At 35.0% G+C, this 21009-nt stretch overlaps 1 protein-coding gene across 41 annotated transcripts in view; it reads left to right on the top strand.

Moving 5' to 3' along the window:
* The window catches only part of ROBO2 (roundabout guidance receptor 2), a 1743290-nt gene that overhangs the window by 1259459 nt on the left and 462822 nt on the right, over window positions 1-21009 (top strand). The gene's annotated exons all lie outside the window — the stretch shown is intronic.

The raw sequence follows: 21009 nt of genomic DNA on the forward strand, positions 1-21009 counted from the left end.
CGTAGTCCCAGCTGCTTGCGTGGCTGAGGCATAAGAATAGCTCGAACCCAGGAGGCGGAGGTTGTAGTAAGCCAAGATCCTGCCACTGCACTCCAGCTTGGGCAACAGGGAGAAACTCTGTCTCAAAATTTAAAAAAAAGAAAAAAAAGAAAAAAGAAAGAAACATTCTTCTACATAATCACAATATTTTCACACTCAGGAAATTTAATATTGATATAATCTTATTATTTATAAAAATTCCATAACCAGATATCCCCAATTGATTCAATTGCATCTATCATAATGTTTTTGACACAAGATTTAATTCGGGATTATGCATTGCCTTTGGCCCAATATCTGTTTTTCCTTTTCTCTTGTTCTATCTCTTAGTTTGAAAACTTTTTCCAGCCTTTTAAAAAATATTTAATGACACAGAAGTGTTTTTTTTGTTTGTTTGTTTGTTTTAGGCGGAGTCTCACTCTGTCGCCCAGGCTGGGGTGCGGTGGCGCCATCTTGGCTCACTGCAGGCTCCACCTCCCGGGTTCCCGCCATTCTCCTGCCTCAGCCTCCCGAGTAGCTGGGACTACAGGCGCCGCCACCACTCCCGGCTAATTTTTTTTTGTATTTTTAGTAGAGATGGTGTTTCACCGGTTAGCCAGGATGGTCTCGATCTCCTGACCTCGTGATCCGCCTGCATCGGCCTCCCAAAGTGCTGGGATTACAGGCGTGAGCCCCCGCGCCCGGCCGACACAGAGGTTTTTAAGCAGTCCAGGCCAATTGTTTCATAGATAGATGCCTCATACATATTTATGTCTCATAGAAAAAGTTACAAATGTCAACTCATTGCTATTTATGATGTTTCTTTATTCTTTCTTGCACTTACATGGTTCAGCATCTGGCCCGTAGGAGGTACCAAATGGTGATAAGTTCATTATACTATCAGTTTAAAATCTTGTCTACCAGCTCTGTGACAAACTGTACAAATTTGAGTAAGCCTGTTAGCCCCTTTAGACCTAAATATCTCATCTTTGAGTAAATTGACTGGATTATCTTCCATTGATAAAATTGTGTTATTTATTTAAACATTGTATTTGGCCATGTTACCATATTTGAAGTTAGTATTACTACCATGGAATGGAAAATTATATAAATATTTCATCATCTAGTATTCTGAATAGAGTATCAACTAATTGTACAATCTTATGAATGGTTACCAAAGAATTTCAGAACATTCTGTGTAGAAAATATAGTATAAAAAGTCTTTGCAATTGCTCTAATTTAGACTTCCAAGTTGTTAAAACATCTTTTGAAGACCTAGGTGGCCTCACTGCTAGGTATACTCTCTTTATTCACTTTATCTGTTGCATCCTTTATAGCCTACTTGGGAACTTTTTTTCCTTGAGCTCCCAGCATAAGAGAGGCTACTGGGGTGGCAGTTAAACCCATATGTATAATTTTGCCCTGTATTTCATTTCATAAATATATAAGTCTTTTTCTGTATTCTTCAAGACACTGAATTTTCTGCATGATATTTAGGCCTTAACAAGTTATGGTAGTTTAGAAAAAGATATTTAAAAAACATTGTATCTTGTTGTGTACATTAGTACTGTTACAAAGGTTAATACATATTTTTTTAATATGCTGAATTAGCCCTTGGGTCTTCTCACTTAACAATTTTGACAAGGTTTTATGGAAGTTACCCTGACACTTCCATTAGTTATTGGACAACTGGACCTTCTTTTCTAATTGTCTTCCAAAAAAGGGGACATGATGTTTCTCTGCCGCATTAACTTTGTTGTTTCCTGTAAAACTTAGCAGGCAAAAATCTGAGCTTGTAAATGAGAGACTTGTCTTCGTCTTGATCAGAGACATGAAATTTGCAATTTAAATGAGAAAAAATAATGAACTTAATGCATACCTTGAAAGAAGTGTTGTAATGTGCCAATTTGGTTCTCATAAAGTTGATTCTACACATCCCTATGAAGGTATTGATTGTGTCCATGTAGTAAAGCTGAGGGTGCCGTGAACTCCTCAGTGACTTGGCATTTCATCGTTACAGACAATCAGCCTTCCAAGCACTTGGCTTAACATACCTCCAGCCCCTAAATACATGACGAAGTCAGTGGCAGAATGGCTGTGCAAGTAGTCTGGCTCTTAACCTTAATGCTAGCCTTGGTCTTATGAAATCTTGTTATTAAGAAAACCTCATGGCTATATACAGTTAAAAATGAATGTCACTGTGAAATCTCTACTTTTAAGGAGTTATCTGGCCTCCATTGGTAGTATTTGCCTACTCATATTTGTCAAGTTATTCTTTGAAAACTAGCAGGAAGAATAGGAAATAAGAAGTCTGATTTGAAATCTTGGTCTTCCTTTTCTTATTTCCTTTACCCCAGAGACCCAGAAAATGGAGCTAGCTACATTTCTCACACTTACTGTCATAGTTACATGTTTATATTCTATTAGTTGTAATTATTTTTCACCTATCCTCTCATTAGAATGTTATACCTATAGAGCAGATACCATTCCAGTTTTAATTTTTTGCCCCGACTCCTAGTAAGTACGTGACCTATTACAGGGAACTTAAAACAAACAAAAAGTCTGCTGAGTCTGGGATGTTTTAAGGATCGAAGGAACATGTTGGTCCAATTTGCCTTCACAGAGGGTTACCTCTGCTTTCTACCGAATGTGAATTGCTCCCATGTGATTTTGAAGAATTCCAGTCTACCTCAGGGAAGGACCACATGTAATGCCAGAGTCTGCAAACTTGGCAGCTTTTACCCTCTCTCATCTGTGGGATTGTTTTGTCCTGGGTTTAGATAGCTAAGTGTCTGTAAAAAGATTCTTTTTGTCATTAAGGAGCAACAGGAAATGGAGAGCAGCAGTGACTCCATTTCCAGTGTCTAAAGAAGAAGACTTAAGCACAAAGTAAGGACTTTCCCTCTCCACTTGTTTAATATAATGCTCTGATTGCATCCACACGTATGCAAATGGAAACATTCAGATTCCAGCTCCTAAGGACATGTGAATAAATGAAATATGTGTCCGTGTTCTTATTTGCTGAGTGAATTTATGAACAAGTCAATAGGCTGTTACAGATAAAGTGATTATTTAACATTGTGTTAAAAACTTCACTTGGAAACTTGGATTATTTCTTAATATTTATAATTGGCTATCTTAGCCAATTATCTTAGATACCTATGATTAAAATAGCCCTGTTTGAATTTTTGTCTTCAAATTTGTCAAGTTTTAGTAAGCATGTGTCATTATCTACCAGACCACCTCTAAATTAAAATAAAAAGAGATAATCAGAATACTGACTTGCCAAGTTGTTTGTGAATCACACTTACCAGGTACCAGATTTGTAGTTAAACTCCTCCCAGAATTTTTCCATTAGTGTTATAGAAATTTCACATGCTAAATACAATGCAAGTATATACTGTTAAAATTTTCAGAATATCGTTTCTGAAAATTACTTTGCTCCCTGCAAATCCACCCTACTCACCTGTATCATTTGAGTGAAAACTTTTCTGTGTAACTGTGACTGAGCAGTTAAACCAGAAACCTGCTTTAGGTAAGGACTGCCTTGATGTTTGCAATTTTTCCCACTTTTTTCTTTTCCTTTCTTTTTTTATTTTTTCATTTTAAAGATAAAGGTCACTCTAAGAAGGTAGTTCCTGAGTTAAAAGTGTTCCATAGGGTTGGGGATTACAATAGAAACAGACACCGTTCCCCACCAAGGGGGCAGGAGTTGAGCATGAGCCTCCCCACTGTGGTCGTCCTGGGGTCTCTGGGGGGTGGGATGGCATCTGACAGTGATGGGCTTTTCTTGATGGCTTCCTTTCTTTGTACCTAACTCTGGTCCATAAATAGAGCATCACATCATGCTCCCAGACTGACACCGGGGAAGCTTCATAAATCAGCAAGTGAGTGTTCCGGCATGATCCTTTGGCCACTGCCTTCCCTCCAGAGCTGACACCTGTCACCTTTTAAAGAGTGTACATTCTCTGTCACTGTAGCTGATTCCTGTCTTTTCTTTATTCATTCTCATATGCTGCCTAGGTGGTATTATCTGGGTGGCTGCCCATATATTATTTAAATCATTACCAGTATGGCCTAGGTAGGTTTTTAATTATGCCTAAAAACTTGATAGTTCCAGATAGTTATTGGGTATACAACTAAGAATATAATACAAAATGCATTTTATTTTTAAAAGAACATACATATGTGTTTAACAGATCTAATTATATATATATTTATAATCAACAATAGAATATTGCATTTAGGTGGCTTATAAATAATACCTTAAAGCACTTAAAATGATAAGAATTCTTAAGAATCTGTAAGAATCTGAGAGTTAAGGAAAGTGCTTTGAATATCCTTAGACTGTTACCTTTTCCAATAAGTCAGTAAGCATTGGTGATTTGTTAATATTATAAAATACGTATCTTCTCTGTGGCACACGTCACTTTATTGGAGAAACATATGTGACTCAACTCAACTGTTATCTGGTCCTATTTTGCCCTAATTATGGTTTCTATTTAAATGGCATTATAGAATCGCTTAGCTTTTAAAGAGGGGCAGTGGAAAAGATCTGTAAAACTTCAGCAAGTCTATAATCTACATGAGCAGAAATTTACCTCTCTTAAATGTCTACATATTAATGACATTAAAAATAAAATAATCGACCCATGTTGGGGATTTCTGTGCTTTCCCCAAATGAATGTTTAAAATTTTATTTTGAATTCTATTAAAGTGAATAATGACCACAAGGTGTTTGTAATTGGGGAGATAGTAAGTGCAAAATACAAGCAGAGGGTGCTTAAAAAGAACAAAAAAAGTCTGTTTCTTATTGATTGGCCTGTGGTGGGATAAATGTGTGGCTTCTGCCTTTAATGGAAGCTGATTGTTCAGGGATGTGCCGGTGAGACTGGTCGATTCTTGAGCTGTTGTTTACTGGGAAGGACAATATGAATTTTCTAGAGGGATGATTGGTGGGATGTCAAGGCTGTCACCCTTTTCTCCTCGTCACTGACAGACAGCCCGGTGACAATTACCAGTGATGGGACATTGCCTGCACTGGCATATACACTAGAGGATATAACTGGCAAACAACAAGAGAGGAAAGCACTCCTGGAAAAAAGATATAATCAGCAGTTGTCAGGACTGGTTACATATCTGATGTCTGCATAACAGGGCCAAGGCACATTAGCTTTACCACTGGGGTAACATGCAGCCTGCTTCGTCCTGCTTAGAAAACTGATCTTAGAAATTTTGGGAAGTTTAGAGGATAACAAGAATTGTTGGCATTCTTTCTACTTGACAGTTAATATAAGAAAAAAAGTATTTTACTTATTTTTTCTAATTAAAATAAACTTTGGGAAATTCAAATGGACTGGAAAGTAGATATTTGTATTCTTTACAGAAATAGTTATATTTGTGGTATGTTTCCTCATGAGTTAACTTTTATGACTTTTCTTGCCAGGCTTCTGTTATTGGCAAAAGTCCAAATGGACACTAATAAGTTGTGTTGTACAGGTATCAGAATGAGAGACTCAATTCCATAATTTTGCCAGAGAAGCATCATTTAAATGGTGGAGTATGTTCTATGCTAGGTAGGTAGTACACAGACATATCCACCAGATTTTCTATAAAGATTCTTCTGTCAGTCTCATGCTGTCTATTTCCTTCCGTTCCATTGCTTCGGAATTTCAAATAAGTTTAAAGAAAAAGATCAGCATTTCCAAAGCCTACCTTAATGTGTAGAGAAACTAATACCTAAATTAGACCACCTGGAATAAAAGAGCCGTCAAGTAGCTGTATTTATTTCTCAGCAAGAGACTATTCTTTGTGTTAATTTACAAATGTAACTTATTTAATTAATCATGTTTAGGCTAATCACCTCTTAGAGTCAATGTATTCTGCTGGAAGTTTACTGTTTGGAAAAATTCACAATAAGTATAGTTTTATACAGTCAAATTTACATATTTTTGTTCTGTAGGAATTAGTCATCTCTTTCCACCCAGGGTTTTCTTAACATCAAAATGAAAATGTCTCCGCATGCTCAGGTAAGAAGATTTTTGTCAGTTTCCCACCAAAATATGGACTGGGAACACCTTGTAAGCTTCTACTCAAATGCCTAATGAGGATTACTTTTTTCATAATTGGTCACTGTAGAGATGAAAATAATTGGCTACCTAATGTTGGTTATCTCCTATCTGTGTGGCATCCATGACTTACATCAGATGTATTTCTTTTTTTGTGAGAATTATTTTCTTAAATGTCTTTTCTGATTTTTTTTTAAAAATGTGTTAATTACAGAATTTGGCAAACATTATAAAGTGCAAATAACGGTATGAAAATCATGCATTATTCTACCATTCAGAGGAGTGCATTGTTAACATTTTAGTATTTTTTCCATTTGGCTTTTGTTTGAAGATTTTAACTGTTTACATTTGTGTATGTTCTGTTGAGTGTTTTCAGTGATGCCATTTTTCATCTTGAATCAATATATAGACAAGTAGTGTGATTTTGGTAGTGTCCTTTTATTTTAAATAAGTAGGTTTTAATACTGCTGAGTGATTACATATGGAGGTTATTTCTGGTTGGGCTTATAAGATTCCATATAAAAGTTATAATTAATTTCCTTCCTTAAACCAAGGGCTAATTGATTTTCCATTGCACTCATTAAAAATAGATACTTAGCTTTTCAGAAGATTGTCTCAGAAACCCAAGGCAGGGCCCAGGCCCTCTGGGATGCCATCAACTGACCATTCCATCAGTCCTAGAATTGTGACCCTCCTACTTGTCAGAACTGAAGTATTTATCCCATTTCCCAGCAGATAAACATTTGCAAGGCAAATAATAAATTAGCCATTAATCAGAAGAATGTTTGCATTCGATGAACTCTGAATGGAGTGGAGATGTCAGGTAGATAGACAAGGTAAATCAACATGGCAGAATCAATCACAAGGAAGAGCCAGCCATAATTTAGAAAGCATTGACCCAAATATTTAACGACTTTGGAAGGTAAGAACATTTTGTAAAGGAAGAAAGCTATTTAGAAAAAGGTGTGGGTAGATTTTAATAATAGATAGCAATTAAGTTTTAAACATTTAAGGCTTCAGCCTAATGATAGACATTTGGAAGTTTGATTTGAAAAAAGAGACACTGTCAAATATTTATTTTTAAAGGCCCGTGTGTTCAAATAATTTTTTCTTTCCCAGGAGTGCTCTCATGAAATGTACCCACATTATAATTTTTTTTCAAAAAAACAATTTAGCAAGTATATTGTTTTAAAAGCAAGAAGTGACCTTGTTATGTTGGTGTTCTTTGATTCCTAATTGTGTTTGCCCCTTCATGTGTATGATGCAAAGACTTTCAGATTGAGAGTCTGAAAGTCCCATGTGTTGAGCTTTGCTTGGCCACTTAATAATCATGTGGTCCTGGGGAAGTAACTTAACCTTTTATGACCCGCAATTTCCTCATTTGTAAAATAGGTCTTGGCACCATTCATTTTTTTACGTAGAAGACATATGTGTGTTGTATAAATTTATTCTAAGGCATTATTCATATTTTAAAATTCTTAAAAAAATCAGTTATTGTTACATATCTTGTTCTCATGTCTAATCAGTTAGTGCATATCTTGTTTCTGAAAATGTTATACCTAAAGGGATTAAAAGGCTCAGTGGTTATAAAAAACAATATTATTTCTCCTAATTCTCATGAGGTTAGAAACTACAACCTTTGTTTTCTTAGAACTGACCATCAGGGAAATTGCTTTTGACTCCAAACACCTACCATCTGGCATATCCTATCTTCTCATTATAATATGTGATGCCTAAATTTGTGAGACATCCTGGACTCTCCACATGTGTGTTTTTCATTTCTTGACCCCAACGTAGAAGAAAGGATGGAAGTAAATGGAATAAACATAATTCTCACCGTTGCTTTCCTAGTTCTTCATTTCTCACCTACTCACTTTCTTCCCATGAGTACAATTCTATCCCCCAGTTAGGTTGTGCAGATGAGGTATCTTTTCAAGTAATGACACCTTTAAACCAAAACATTAACTGAGTCCTGGGTGTCCCCCTCCCCATAGCTTTGCTTGACTAAGAAAATTCTTCTAATCCGAAATTTTAAATGAAAACATGTAATGTTGATTAACATTGCCTGAAGCACAGAGTACGATTAAAATGTTTTGAGATTTTAGAATATATAAATCACTCATGCAAAAAAAAAAGAGTTTTCTTTATACAATCTAGAAACAATTATATTAGCCCGTATTAATAGGCTTCAAATGAAAAACATTGAAGCCAATACATTTCAACTGGGTGTTCATGCTACTTGCTGTGGGGTTTTTTAAAAATTTATTTCTAGTTAATACCCCTTATCCCCATGCCATCTTTGTCTTTCTGTCTTAGCAGGTAACTTTAACCTAAATTTCCTGAAGAAATAGGAAGTTATTGTATGTGAATTATTTATTGCTTACCTCAAAATTTCTCCAAATCTTCATTTATCATTTCCTATTTCTGTTCTGATACTCATGTCTGTGACTAACAAACCTATCTGCTTATGTTTATGATTTTCATTTACTCCAGTCGAAACCTGTCAAATAGCTACTTTTTCAGTCTCATTCTTTATTAATTCTTCCTTACAATATAAGCATACCCAGTTCTCCTCCATCTTAAACACAGGAGAGTATAGATAAAAAGAAAAATTCTATAAGATTTCATGGAGAAAAGGAATTATGTTTAGCTTTGGATTTCAAAAAGGCTTCATAAAAGAAATGGCATTTAAAAATATCCTGAAACACTAATATTATAAAGCCTGTTTTAACATAAATACTACTTACTGTCACCATACGGTTTTTGTTTTTAAAGTTGCTCACTTCTAATACCTGAGGCTACAATAAGGCACATAATCTTCCTAACAGTTTCAATTTATAACTCATATTTTTCATGACAACCCTGTCAGGTAAGTTGTATTACTATTCTCATTCTGCCGATGTGGAAACTGAGTCAAAGAAAGATTAAACAACCTACCTGAAACTATATATTTAGTAGTAATTGTTAGAACCAGAGTTTGTACCTGGTTGGCTCCAGGTTCTGTGCCTGGCCACTATTCTTATTGCTTCTCCACATAGTACTTGCATATATGATTAACCATGAAGCTGTTGGCTTTAGAAGTCTTGCAAATCCATTTTCAGAATTAGTTTGGGTTTTTGGGTTTTTTCGGGGTTTTATAGAGCATCAATAGGGAAATAGCATGAAATAGGAACAGAAATGTAGATTGGAATGATAATGTAGAGGTCCTTAAATTCTAGACTGAAGAATTCTGACTTAATTTAATTGGCACACGATGAGGAATCGCTCAAAATTTTGAACATGAAGTGATATTGTTGGATCTACGTGTTAGCAACAGTGGACAGTTGGAGGCAGGAAGTGTGTGAAATGGATAATCATTTAGAAGCTATTGCAACCGTGTGGGTGAGAAACCAGGAAGCCTAAATCAGGAAGGTGACTGGAAAGGAGATACATTTGTGAGAATGGTTTAGGTAGCATTTACAGGATTGGCCAAGCTGGGATAGTCATAGATCAAGGCAAGCAGGGAGAGAGGTGACTCCAAGATTTTAAATCATAACTTAGAAGATAAGGAGCTGCTATCTGAACACTGATCAAATCAGCCTGAATATTTATTAATAATTTGGGAAATATCTGCCTTGGTACATGTTGACTTTGATATATTAATGGAAATTTCAGATAACGTTTTGGAAACGTCATTCTGTAAGTAGGGAGAAAAATCAGAGACAGAAGTATAATTTTGGAAGTATCTAGCCAAAGGAAGTTGAAACCATTTGAGTAGATGGAATAATGAAAGAATGAAGTATGGAAGCTGAGGTGGAGAAAGCCTGAAAAATTAGTCTGTGGTAGGACCTCCATTAAATCAGCAAATAGCAGGAACAGAAAGAATGAGCTGGGTAAGAAGAGCTCCAAAAGATTGAGGGAGAACTAGAATAAGGAAGAATCATAAACAATAAAAGGAAAGGGAATTCTAAGAAGCAAGAGAGGGTCAAAATTCATTTACTTCAGAGCTAATTGAGAAAAAAAAGGTGTTTAATTCATCCAAAATCTCTAAAGAAAACCTTCTGTTGGCCATTATTACAGATAACCTTTAACAATGATAAATGTACAGTAACTACTTACATATGAATGAGTCAGTGAAAATACTCGGACGGATTTTTCCCTTTCGGTGCATTCAGGGTCTGTGTGGAAGAATTAATGCTTTCAGAATATTTGTTTGTAAACACACCATCTCTAAAGAAAATTTTAGGGTTTCTATTGATTTTTTGATCAGGTGTTCACATATGTTTAAAATTATAATGGAAGTCAATAGATAAACGTGACTTGGTGTACAATATTTACCTATACATGGCATTCTAGAAGCATATATCATTAGAAAGATCACAACATAGTTTGTTCCATTTTATGAATTGATTCTTATTTATCTCTGCTGCCAAAAACTTGTGGATCTCACTAGAGCCACACATGCTTAAACTTAAAAAACAAAAATATTTTAGATTAGTGAAATCCAAAATTTACATTTTACATTTTTTAGGAATAAACTGCATTATATTAAAACTGTATCACTGGTTTGCTTGCTAGATCAGAATAAATTTTGATCCAGAAGTCTGTGACCTCTTGTTTGGATCAAGGGTTGTTTCTTATATAAAACTTACAAGTTCAATACTGAGACTGAACAAAGCCAGGAAACAAAAATATAAATTTGATATGGTCTGTTTGTAGAAAAGACAATAAAAATGTTGAGTACTTATTTACAAAGCATGTCTTCAAATTTTTCTTTAAAGAATCTGTAGGTAATCTGTATTGTGGATTCATTAAGTTTTTGACTTAAAAAAATGGAAAAAACACAAAAGTAGGAAAAAGAGATTTCTAAAAGGTTATTGTTACCACTGGTTACTTGTAAACCTACAGTTCACTTTGCACTAAAACTTTGGATATGTCTCATTGATTAGAATTTTATAATATAAAAATGCAGCCAAAATATTTTGAGTTTTGCATTTTAACAAAATTTCAAGTCCAAAACCTCTGAAGATGTTTTTTCTCATTGAACTAGGCAAGTCGGAAACATACTCTTAATCCTGTCAATGGTTCTGAGAGCCTCTCTGCTTTAAATATATGATAATACTTTGTTTCATGTCATCTTATTATTGGTAGTACAGTCATCCCTCAGCATCTGTGAGAGATTGCTTCCAGGACCTCCAGGGGATATCAACATCCATGGAGGCTCAAGTCTCTTCTTTAAAAAAAGACTTTAAAAGTACTGTTTGCATACAATCTTGTGCATCCTCCTTCATACTTTAAATTATTTCTAAATCACTTATAATATCTAATGTAATATAAATGCTATGTAACTGGTTGTTATACTATATTTTTTTATTTGTATTACCTTTAATTGTTGTATGGCTATTCTTAAATTTTTTGCCAAATATTTTTATCTGAGCTTGATTGAATCCACAGATGGGGGCCATTGGATATGGAGAGCCAACTGTGGTTTACAGTCTAGTTTTCTATTTTTCTAGTTAAATATATAAGTAGAAAATTAAATTTTTAATCAATAGGCAAAAGAGAGCAAGGCCATATACTTTACAAAGACCATGAATGATTTGTGAAGTAGATCTCTTTCCCCCTTCATGTTTTCCAATAAGTCAACACAAATCTCTCTTCCATTTATAATTATGTACGTATATGTGCTAAATAAATATTATGCTTCCCATTCATACTTCTGCAACTCCTTCATTATTTTCTATTTCCTTCATTCAGCTAATATTTTTCTGAATATTTATGTGTCTAGAAGTGTTTAGGTTCAAAGAGAGAGCAGTAGACAATAAAGACAAAGCCCTGTCTCTACTGAACTTCCTGGGGAAAGAGCTCGATTGAAGGCAAATCTATAAACAACATAAAATTTAAGATTAAGTAGACAGTAAAGACAACATCACAGAAGATAAGGGGTAGAACATGCTGTTGAGGTATGGGCGCGCTACAAGGTAGGATAGATGAAGACAATGGAGAAGAGCAATGTGTTGCATACTATTTCCATGCCATATAATCCAGATTTATCTTACCCCTCCATTGATCGTTTTGCCCTGTAGATCTGAAGTTTCCAATGCACAAAGATACAGTGGCAGAATACCTCAAATCTCTCTCAAATCTCTGCCATTTAGAACTTTTTGTTGATGCCTAGATGGTTGGCTTTGTTTCTTAAAGGGAAAAAGTACTCTTTCAGTGTGTTTGCTCTCAACTCATGCTCAACAGCAATGATCTCAAATCTCCAACACTTGCTCATCAAAAAATATATGCTCGCGAATAGATTTCAGTGCTTCAGATTAATGAAAAAATACCCATCCTTACTAAACAGGTGAGAATGCAAGCTCAAGAGAGCCAGCAAAGAGAACATTTTAAAAAATGTTAGGCACTAATAACACTTTGAATAAGTGTCATTTTTTGAAATAAATTTTATACCCCCCACAGTGTGTATATAATTATATATTGCCATGTACATATTTTAAAAAATAATTTACATAGGACATATTTGACTCAGATTGCACTTAAATATTCTCTTAAATATACTCCTGAAGACATTCTTATTTTTAGTGCTTTACAGAAATATTTTGAAAATAGGAAGGCTACTATTAGTAAGAGCAAATTGAATTTGAGTTTGATTTGTTAAGAAATACTTACGCTGTTCTCTCTAGTCTTAGTGTGGTTTCAGCATTAGTCTTACTCGAGGCAGTTGAATACTGATATGATTGCAGATAACTTGGCAATCTGCTAATGGTTCCAGGAGGTTCATTTTGATGTATTTAGTGAATCTTAGGTAGGTAGGTATGTACTAACATATCATAGTATGTGGTACTTACTATATATATTCCTCTTATTTACAGCTAGCTACAAAATATTGCTTAGAAACACTGAAAATGAAAGGCTATTTTTTTTTAAAAATCTGTCTTTTCCTAATAAAAATTCAAGAGCTTTAATATTTAGTAACTGCCTTTAGGTTTAGTTTGTCAGTGCCCTTCACGCGCTTAATAATAGGCTTCAAAACTCCTGGTCACTTGCTAATAACTCTTCACTTCTCGGGAGATTGAATTGCTATAGGCCAGTTTTCCTAATAAGCCTGCAAAAAAAAAAAAGTTAAATTGAAGACTCATGTACGTATTTCCTTTTCAGCTATTTTTTATACATTGCCATGCAAATATATTTCATTTTTTCATATAGCTCATGAATGTGCATGAATACATACATATGCACTTAACAAGAATTTTGTTTTGAAAAAAAATACTGTGGTATATGAGAAAAATTGTAATATTTTAAATGAAGATATTAGTACCAGAGAAATAGCTAATCAAATGTAAGAGGCAAGAAAAAAAAGGCCACACATTAAACTTGTGCATCATCAAGATTTAAAAAATTAATAACATTAAAAACAGTTGGTTAACATTCTTTTCTTTTGCTATCTATGTCCCGTTTCTTTTAAACCTTGAATGTAACATATAACATTTAATCTCCTATAAAATTGTAATTATTTTCCACCAAAACACAAATGAGTAAACATAAACAAAACAGAAACAAAGATTGGCCTTTATGGAGGAATTACATGTGACTACAAGAAGAGATTTTAAACAACTGCTAGGGTGCGGTTAAACTGTCTCTTACAAGTTGCGGTTCTGGATGTACTCTGTTAAGGAGATAGTTTCATGAACAGGAGCCCGTTTGTAATTAGATAAGGAAAACTGACAGCAGCAGTTGAGTTAGTGGCTCCCATGGAATGACAGGTATTGACTGAACCCTGGGCTGTGTTTGAGATGGGGAGGGAGTCGATAAAAGCATCAGGGCTTGTTTGGAGTAACACTGCCAGCAATGCTTTAATTTGCCGCCTGGAAAAGAGCCACAGACATTCTTCCCCCATGTTTAGTGTTGATGAGATCTAACACTTACATTTAATCTTCTGTTTACCACTAAAAACACTTGTAAGTGGTATATGGCACCACAAAGAGGAAATAGAACAGGGAAGCACATTTTGTATAAATTCTATGTTGCAGCCCAAGTCTAGAAAAAAACACCTCATTTGAATCATTGAATCAAGTGTGGAAGGAAAAGTTTAACAACAACAAAAAATCAGTTTAGAACAAATGTTTTAACTGATTTTGAAGAAGAGATAGGGAGTAGAAAATGTTTCTAAACTACCTTTTGAATTCTCTCTCTCTCTCTCTCTCTCTCTCTCTATATATATATATATGTATTTTTTTTTTTTTTTTTTTGAGACAGAGTCTCACTGTGTCGCCCTGGCTAGAGTGCAGTGGGATGATCTCGGCTCACTGCAACCTTCACCTCCTGGGTTCAAGCGATTCTCCTGCCTCAGTCTCCCAAGTAGCTGGGACTACACAAATTCTTTATCTATTTTTCTATATACCATATTGGTTTAATGAAAAAAAGACTGTAAATGGAAAAGCTGTGATGTTCATAGACACATTAGGGATGTATTATTATCTCTACATAATTTAAAGATTCAATTTTGTACTCTGTTTAAAAGCAAATGTATTCTTATTAAATACTTCCCAGATATTTTTGAAATGTCTTACATAAAAACATATGTATATATAAATTCTATGATAAAATATTAATGTATAGTTTTATATGTGGTATACACTTTGACCCATAATATCTACCCATAAAAATCCACAAAAGCACCCAGATTTTAATACTGACCATTAGAGAACTCAAGCAAAATGATTTTTGAAAAAGAGTTACTTCTGGACCAGATCCAACCTAGCTGCATTTAACTTGCTGCCAAACTCAACAGACACCATTATAAAATTTGCACCTACTTATTATTACAAATTCAAGTAATCCCCTAACTGTGACCTTCAGTGCCTAATTAAATAAGGGCAGCATTTAAAAATACTAGATGACTTCAATCTTACTTAGTTGCCAGTGCTTAATGCTTCCCACCTGTTGTAACACAGAAAATGCCCAAGGTAGACTGCAATGCCTTTGGTTTTGCCAGGAAATTTCAAAAGCTTAGGGTTTTGTAGTGAATCCACACTAAACTCCTGTTAGGCTCAATTAGATGATGTACTGAGATTATCTGACTTGTTGTGGAGATAATTACTGTACCAGGGATGAGAGGCCACCCATGCTTCCAGGGGAAGCTCATTGAGGAGGCTCTTTCCCTATTTCCATATATATTCCAAAGCTGTGTGTGTCTGTGGAAAATGAATTCACCAGTGACTGAGAATACGGCTCTGAATTTATTAAAATAGGACTTGCTGTGCTGAAAGAATTTTATTTCGGTATATAATTTTAAGCATGGAAAATTAAAGAAAATCAAGAGATAAGTATAATAGCTAGTACTGTCTCACACACGCCTAGGATCCCTTAGATGTGTAAAATGTATCCCCCCTTCTAAAGTTTCTGCAGAAATTAAAGAGCAGAGGAATTAGGATTTAACCAAATAAAATGTTTCGCTTGAAAATGCATTAATGAATACTGTAACTAAAAGAAAATGATGCTCAATATTCTTGCTTTTAGTGTTTTTCAGAATGTATCAATAATGTTGGATCGCATTATTTTAGTATATGTAAATTTTCAAATATTTAATTATAGTGAAAATATTTTAAAATGCGAAGTCTCATATCAATTACGTAACATATTTTTGCACCAAGTCCAATAAACTTGATTCAGTCAGCCATTACATAAGTAGGGACAACTGTTAACATCTCTCTTACTGGTACAATGATTGATTGTAGTTAGGATAACCCTGAGTACTTCACGTTTCACAAAATCAGTATGATTTTAGCTATATCTATCCTACTGTTATGAAAGTTTTTAGTCACCTTCTGATATTTTGTAGATGGTTATTTCTTTGTATACAGTTGTTTCATGCATAGAGCTTCATTTTATTTCTTTGCAAAGAAATATTTAATTTATATTTGTCAGCTTTTGTAACCATGATTAACAAGACTAATTGAGATTAAAGTACTGCCTATCAAAAAATTTCCAACAGTTGGGACTGAATATTTGGGCAATTCATATGAATTTATATTTATGGTGGTGGAAAAAGCCAAATAATTCAGAATTTACTTGTTCATTCAACAACTAATGTTTGAGAACCATACTTGGGGTTAAGCTGGGACAACAAAAGTATACACAAGTTCCTTTCTTAAAGGATCGCTTGTCTAGGAGGAGAGAAAGACATGTAAATAAATGATTGTAGAGTACAGTGTGATCAGCACAGTAATAGAGGCATGTGCAAGCTTGAACAGTTATTCTGAAGGAGGGAGCAATTAATTCTGTCTGAGATGGGACAGGGGAAGGATTGAATTCGAGCCCGTTCTTTTGAATAATACATGAAAGAGCACTAGTCCATCCTCCTAAATTGAGTAGTTTAGCCAAAGAGAGCTGCCAACCTATCGATCAACTGATGAGAAGACAGAACTTAGACCTAGCAGGCCTAAATGAATAGTGAGCTGACACAAGCAGGTATCAGTGCCATTTGTAGCTTTATCCCTGAAACTGCAATGAGTTGGTGCTCTCAACAATCTCTCCATAGAGACTCTGTGTTCCCACAGCTGAAGAAACTTTATACAAAGGTGTTAAGTAAAGACTGTGGAGAGATGCAGGTAACTAGGTGGATAAATGGTATTATATGAGACCTCCTGAATGCAAAAACTTTTCATAAAATACAAGTCACCAAATCTCTTTGAATGAAAATTTTATTTAAGCATTTCTGTATGTTTGGTAAGGTATTCTCCCTATCTTAGGGAATAGAAGGAATAAACAAAATGAAACAAACAAACAAAAAACCTTTACTTGATTTTGTTCTCTGCCTCAGGTCATTATAATCTACCCGGTCAGGCTCCAGACTGTCTCTGTAATTTCATACTCTGTAATTCACTGATGCTGGCTCCTGTTTTATCACTAAGCCATTAAGCTTTCTCAAAAATAAAACAAAAAACAAAAAATTGTATTTGTTCTAGCCTCCAAAGCTGAAACGTTCTTTCCTTTATCTTCTCCCCCATAAGCTTTAAAAATTTCAGGAAATCTAGAATTCCACATTCTCCAATGTTGCTGTAGGGATTACCTTCTCAACTGGACATATGCCTGGGTGGTCTATAATACTTATGGGCTGAGTTATTTCCTCACAAACTTCGAATGTTAAAATTCTAAACCCTAGTGTCTCAGAATGTAACTGGATTTGGAGACAGGGTCTTTAGAGAAGTAATTAAGTTAAAATGAGGTCATCAGGGTGGGCCCTAGACTAATGCAACGGGTGCCCTCATAAGCAGAAGAAATTAGAACACAAACACACACAGTGGAAAGACCATGTAAGGTCATAGGAATAAGATGGCCATCAAGGGCAGAGGCCTTAGAAAGAACCAACCCTGCTGACCCCTTGATCTTGAACTTCTAGGATCCAGAATTGTGAAACAATATATTTCTTTTGTGTCGGCCACCCAGAATGTGGTATTGTGTTATGGCATCCCCAGCCAACTACTACAATAGAGATGACAGGTATTGTTTGTGTATTTCATCAGTTCATTAGCATTGATGTTTTGTTCCAACTGGAGTTTCTTAATCACCTCTTGTGAACATCATACAGATTACTGTTCCCAGAGTAAGCACCAATACATTGCTGTTGAATTGATTAACTTTCTTTTCATGTTTTCAAATGATATGCCACAATTCACAAGTTGATTTGCACTGTGCTGCTTATCACATTAGCACACAGCGTCAATTTTTCTGCTGTCTTTAACCACCATATATTTCACATTAGGTTGCATATGAGCTTAGTATCTTTTCCCTTCTGATCCTGGACATCATTAGATACCATGAAACAACTGAACCTCCAGGATAAAAATATTTATAGCTCTGCTCATTGAATGAAGAGGAGCATGTTTATAAGATGGTTTTAATGAATGAAGGCTCTGGAGGTTTTCTTACTGCTGGACAACATAACCTGAATCTCCAGAGCTGGTTTTCACTAATTACAAAGTGTATGCGTTTTCTCCTTATAAATCTTGCATCAGCTTTATTTTTAAATTCTGAGATTTGTGAAATACTGGGTCTTTTAAATCAAAAATGCAAAACTAGAAATACAGTCATTCATTTACCAAAAAATTTTGAAGCAGCTATGCGTGAAGCACTGTGGGAGATAGAAAGATGAATTAGAAGTGGACTTTGCCATTAATAACTTTACATTATGATAAAGGGAATATTATATGCAAAAAAGGAATTATGAGTGAGTGGAAAAATATATGATCCAGAAGTGATGCAGACAGAATGTGAAGAGGTCAAAGGATCACTTCTGTTTATGGGAACCAAATAATGACTTCTGGAAAGTTGGTGATTGATTTTAGCATGCCTAAAACAGAGGATGGGGTTTGGGTTTGCACATCAGGGAGATAGAAGAGAGAAAATTTCAGGATGGTGGGACAATGTGAGCAAAAGGTAAGAAAATATATGTATTTTCAATCCTTATCTGGATTTAAAGAAAACATTGAAATAAGTTTGCTTAACATTAGTTAATCCTTCAGTGTTAGCTTTAAGAAATTATAGGAAGTAAAAATACATCTACTGTTTCTGAGTATGGGTTTCACATGAAAATGTGCTGCGTCTTTTATGTATACAATGAATTATGAAGAAAAGCTTTGGATAATATTTCAGGACCTATAATTGGACAAGTAAGACTGAGATGATATAATGCTTATTTTTGCATCCTCAGATTCTAGCATCATAGATGGCATGTAGTAGCTTACAGAACTTCTTGATGAATTCGTTGTAATTTCAGCTTGAAATAGCTAAGTAGCCATAGAAATAGAGTATAATGCATGGAGCAGATATCTGAAAACAGATTTGGCAAAATTTGACAAGTCTCTGGGTTCAGCGCTGCCATAAACAGAATTGTCAAATATGATTTTAAGGCTTGAAGCTGGGATGAGAGGTAGAATGATAGTTCCATCAAAAATGAGGACAGGAGTCAGTTTATTGAAAGATAATGACTTCATTTGGTGATCTGCTGTTGGAAATATAGGATAGTGGATAGGCATCTTAGATTCAGATATAGATAAAGTGGAGAATTATCTCTTTGGAATGGTTGTTACAGACAGATTACTGAAGGGGAAAGTATAGAGAGTCAAAGGTGATGCTGAAGAGCAGGTTTTTAGTGAATGAGTATTTTTGAAGGAGAGAAGAAACGGAAGCATAGAAGGAAAGAAGGCAGTAGTCAGACAAATAGAAGGTACATCAAAACGTCAGTAACAAAACCACAATGTAATACCACGTTAGTCCTGCAAGAATGGCCATAATCAAAAAATCAAAAAGTAATAGATGTTGGTGTGGATGCAGTGAACAGGGAACATTGCTGGTGGGAATGTAAACTAGTACACCCATTATGGAAAACAGTGTGGAGAGTCCTTAAAGAACTAAAAGTAGAACCACCATTTGATCCGGTGATCTCACTACTGGGTGTCTACCCAGAGGAAAAGAAGTGATTATATGAAAAAGATAACTGCATGCACATGTGTATAGCAGCACACTTCACAATTACAGAAAGGTGCAACCTACCCAAATGCCCATCAATCAACGAGTGAATAAATAAACTGTGATACACACATATATATATATGTATATATATGATGGAATACTAGTCAGCCATAAAAAGGAATGAATTAATAGCATTTGCAGCAACCTGGATGAGATTGGAGATTATTGTTCTAAGTGAAGTAGCTCAGGAGCGGAAAACCAGACATCGTATGTTCTCACTCACAAGTGGTTGCTAAGCTATGAGGATGCAAAGGCATAAGAATGACACAATGGACTTTGGGAATTTAGGGGGAAAGGATGGAAAGGGGATGAAGGATAAAAGACTACAAATTGGGTGCAGTGTGTACTGCTCGGGTGATGGGTGCACCCAAATCTCACCATCACCGTGAAATAACTTGCTCATGTAACCGAACACCATCTCTTCCCAAATAACCTATGGAAATAAGTTTTTTTTTTTAAGTCAGTGTCATAGGAATAGGAGGTTAGAAGTAGACAAAAATGTTTAATGTCATGGGGAGATTAAAATGAAGTTAGTGGGGAAAGACCTTTGGTTTTGAAGACCAGAAGCTTTACTGGTGATCTTGTAAAGAGCAAATTCTATAGATTAATAACTTTAGATTCTAACTGGTAACAGAGTTAAGAAATAAATGAGAGATTATTAATAAAGTAGGAGGTGATGGTTTACAGGATCAGCAAGATGAGAAGAAAGGCCCTTTGGAATCAAGGGAGAGCATGCAGGCAAGGCTGAGGAATTGAAGTAATAATAGAAAGCTAGTCAGTGAAGCAGTACTTTAGTCAAATGCAAAAGAGATTATACGGAGCACAGAGGGCAGTCTAGGACTTTTACAAAACTAAGGATGTTGATTTTTCCCCCATATTGAGAGAATTGCTTTTAATAGTCATCTCTTTAAGTGTGTTAACAATCCTTGAAGGCTGATATTAATAATTTCATTTTAGACATCAAAACTGAGATTTTTTTTTGAGAGTAAGCAATGTGATTCCAAAGATATAACCTGGCTTTAAAACCTGCAGCCTTTCTACTATTACCATCTTGTTTTTTAATGTTTGTCCTGACTGATTAGCTAATTTTAAAAATGCTTTAACTTCCTTTGATTAGGCAATATTATTTATAGATTGAACTGGCTTGCTGAATTGTTACATGTTACGTAATGTAATATGAACCATGTCAATGTCAGCTGATTATAACTCACACTTGCGGTATTCAAGAGGCAGGAAGTGAAAGCTATAAGTTTTCTGTAATCATTGTCACAAATGTAATCGCAGCTATTGTTTCTTCTGTAAGATTCTCATTGAAGTAAATGAAAATGAAGACAAATGAAAACGAAGACATCAATAAGACTGATCCTTCATTGTAAAAAGCTAAAACAGGAAAGCAGTATCAGGA

The sequence above is a fragment of the Homo sapiens genome, chromosome 3 (genome assembly GCF_000001405.40).
Source record: "Homo sapiens chromosome 3, GRCh38.p14 Primary Assembly".
In the NCBI taxonomy this organism is placed as follows: domain Eukaryota; kingdom Metazoa; phylum Chordata; class Mammalia; order Primates; family Hominidae; genus Homo; species Homo sapiens.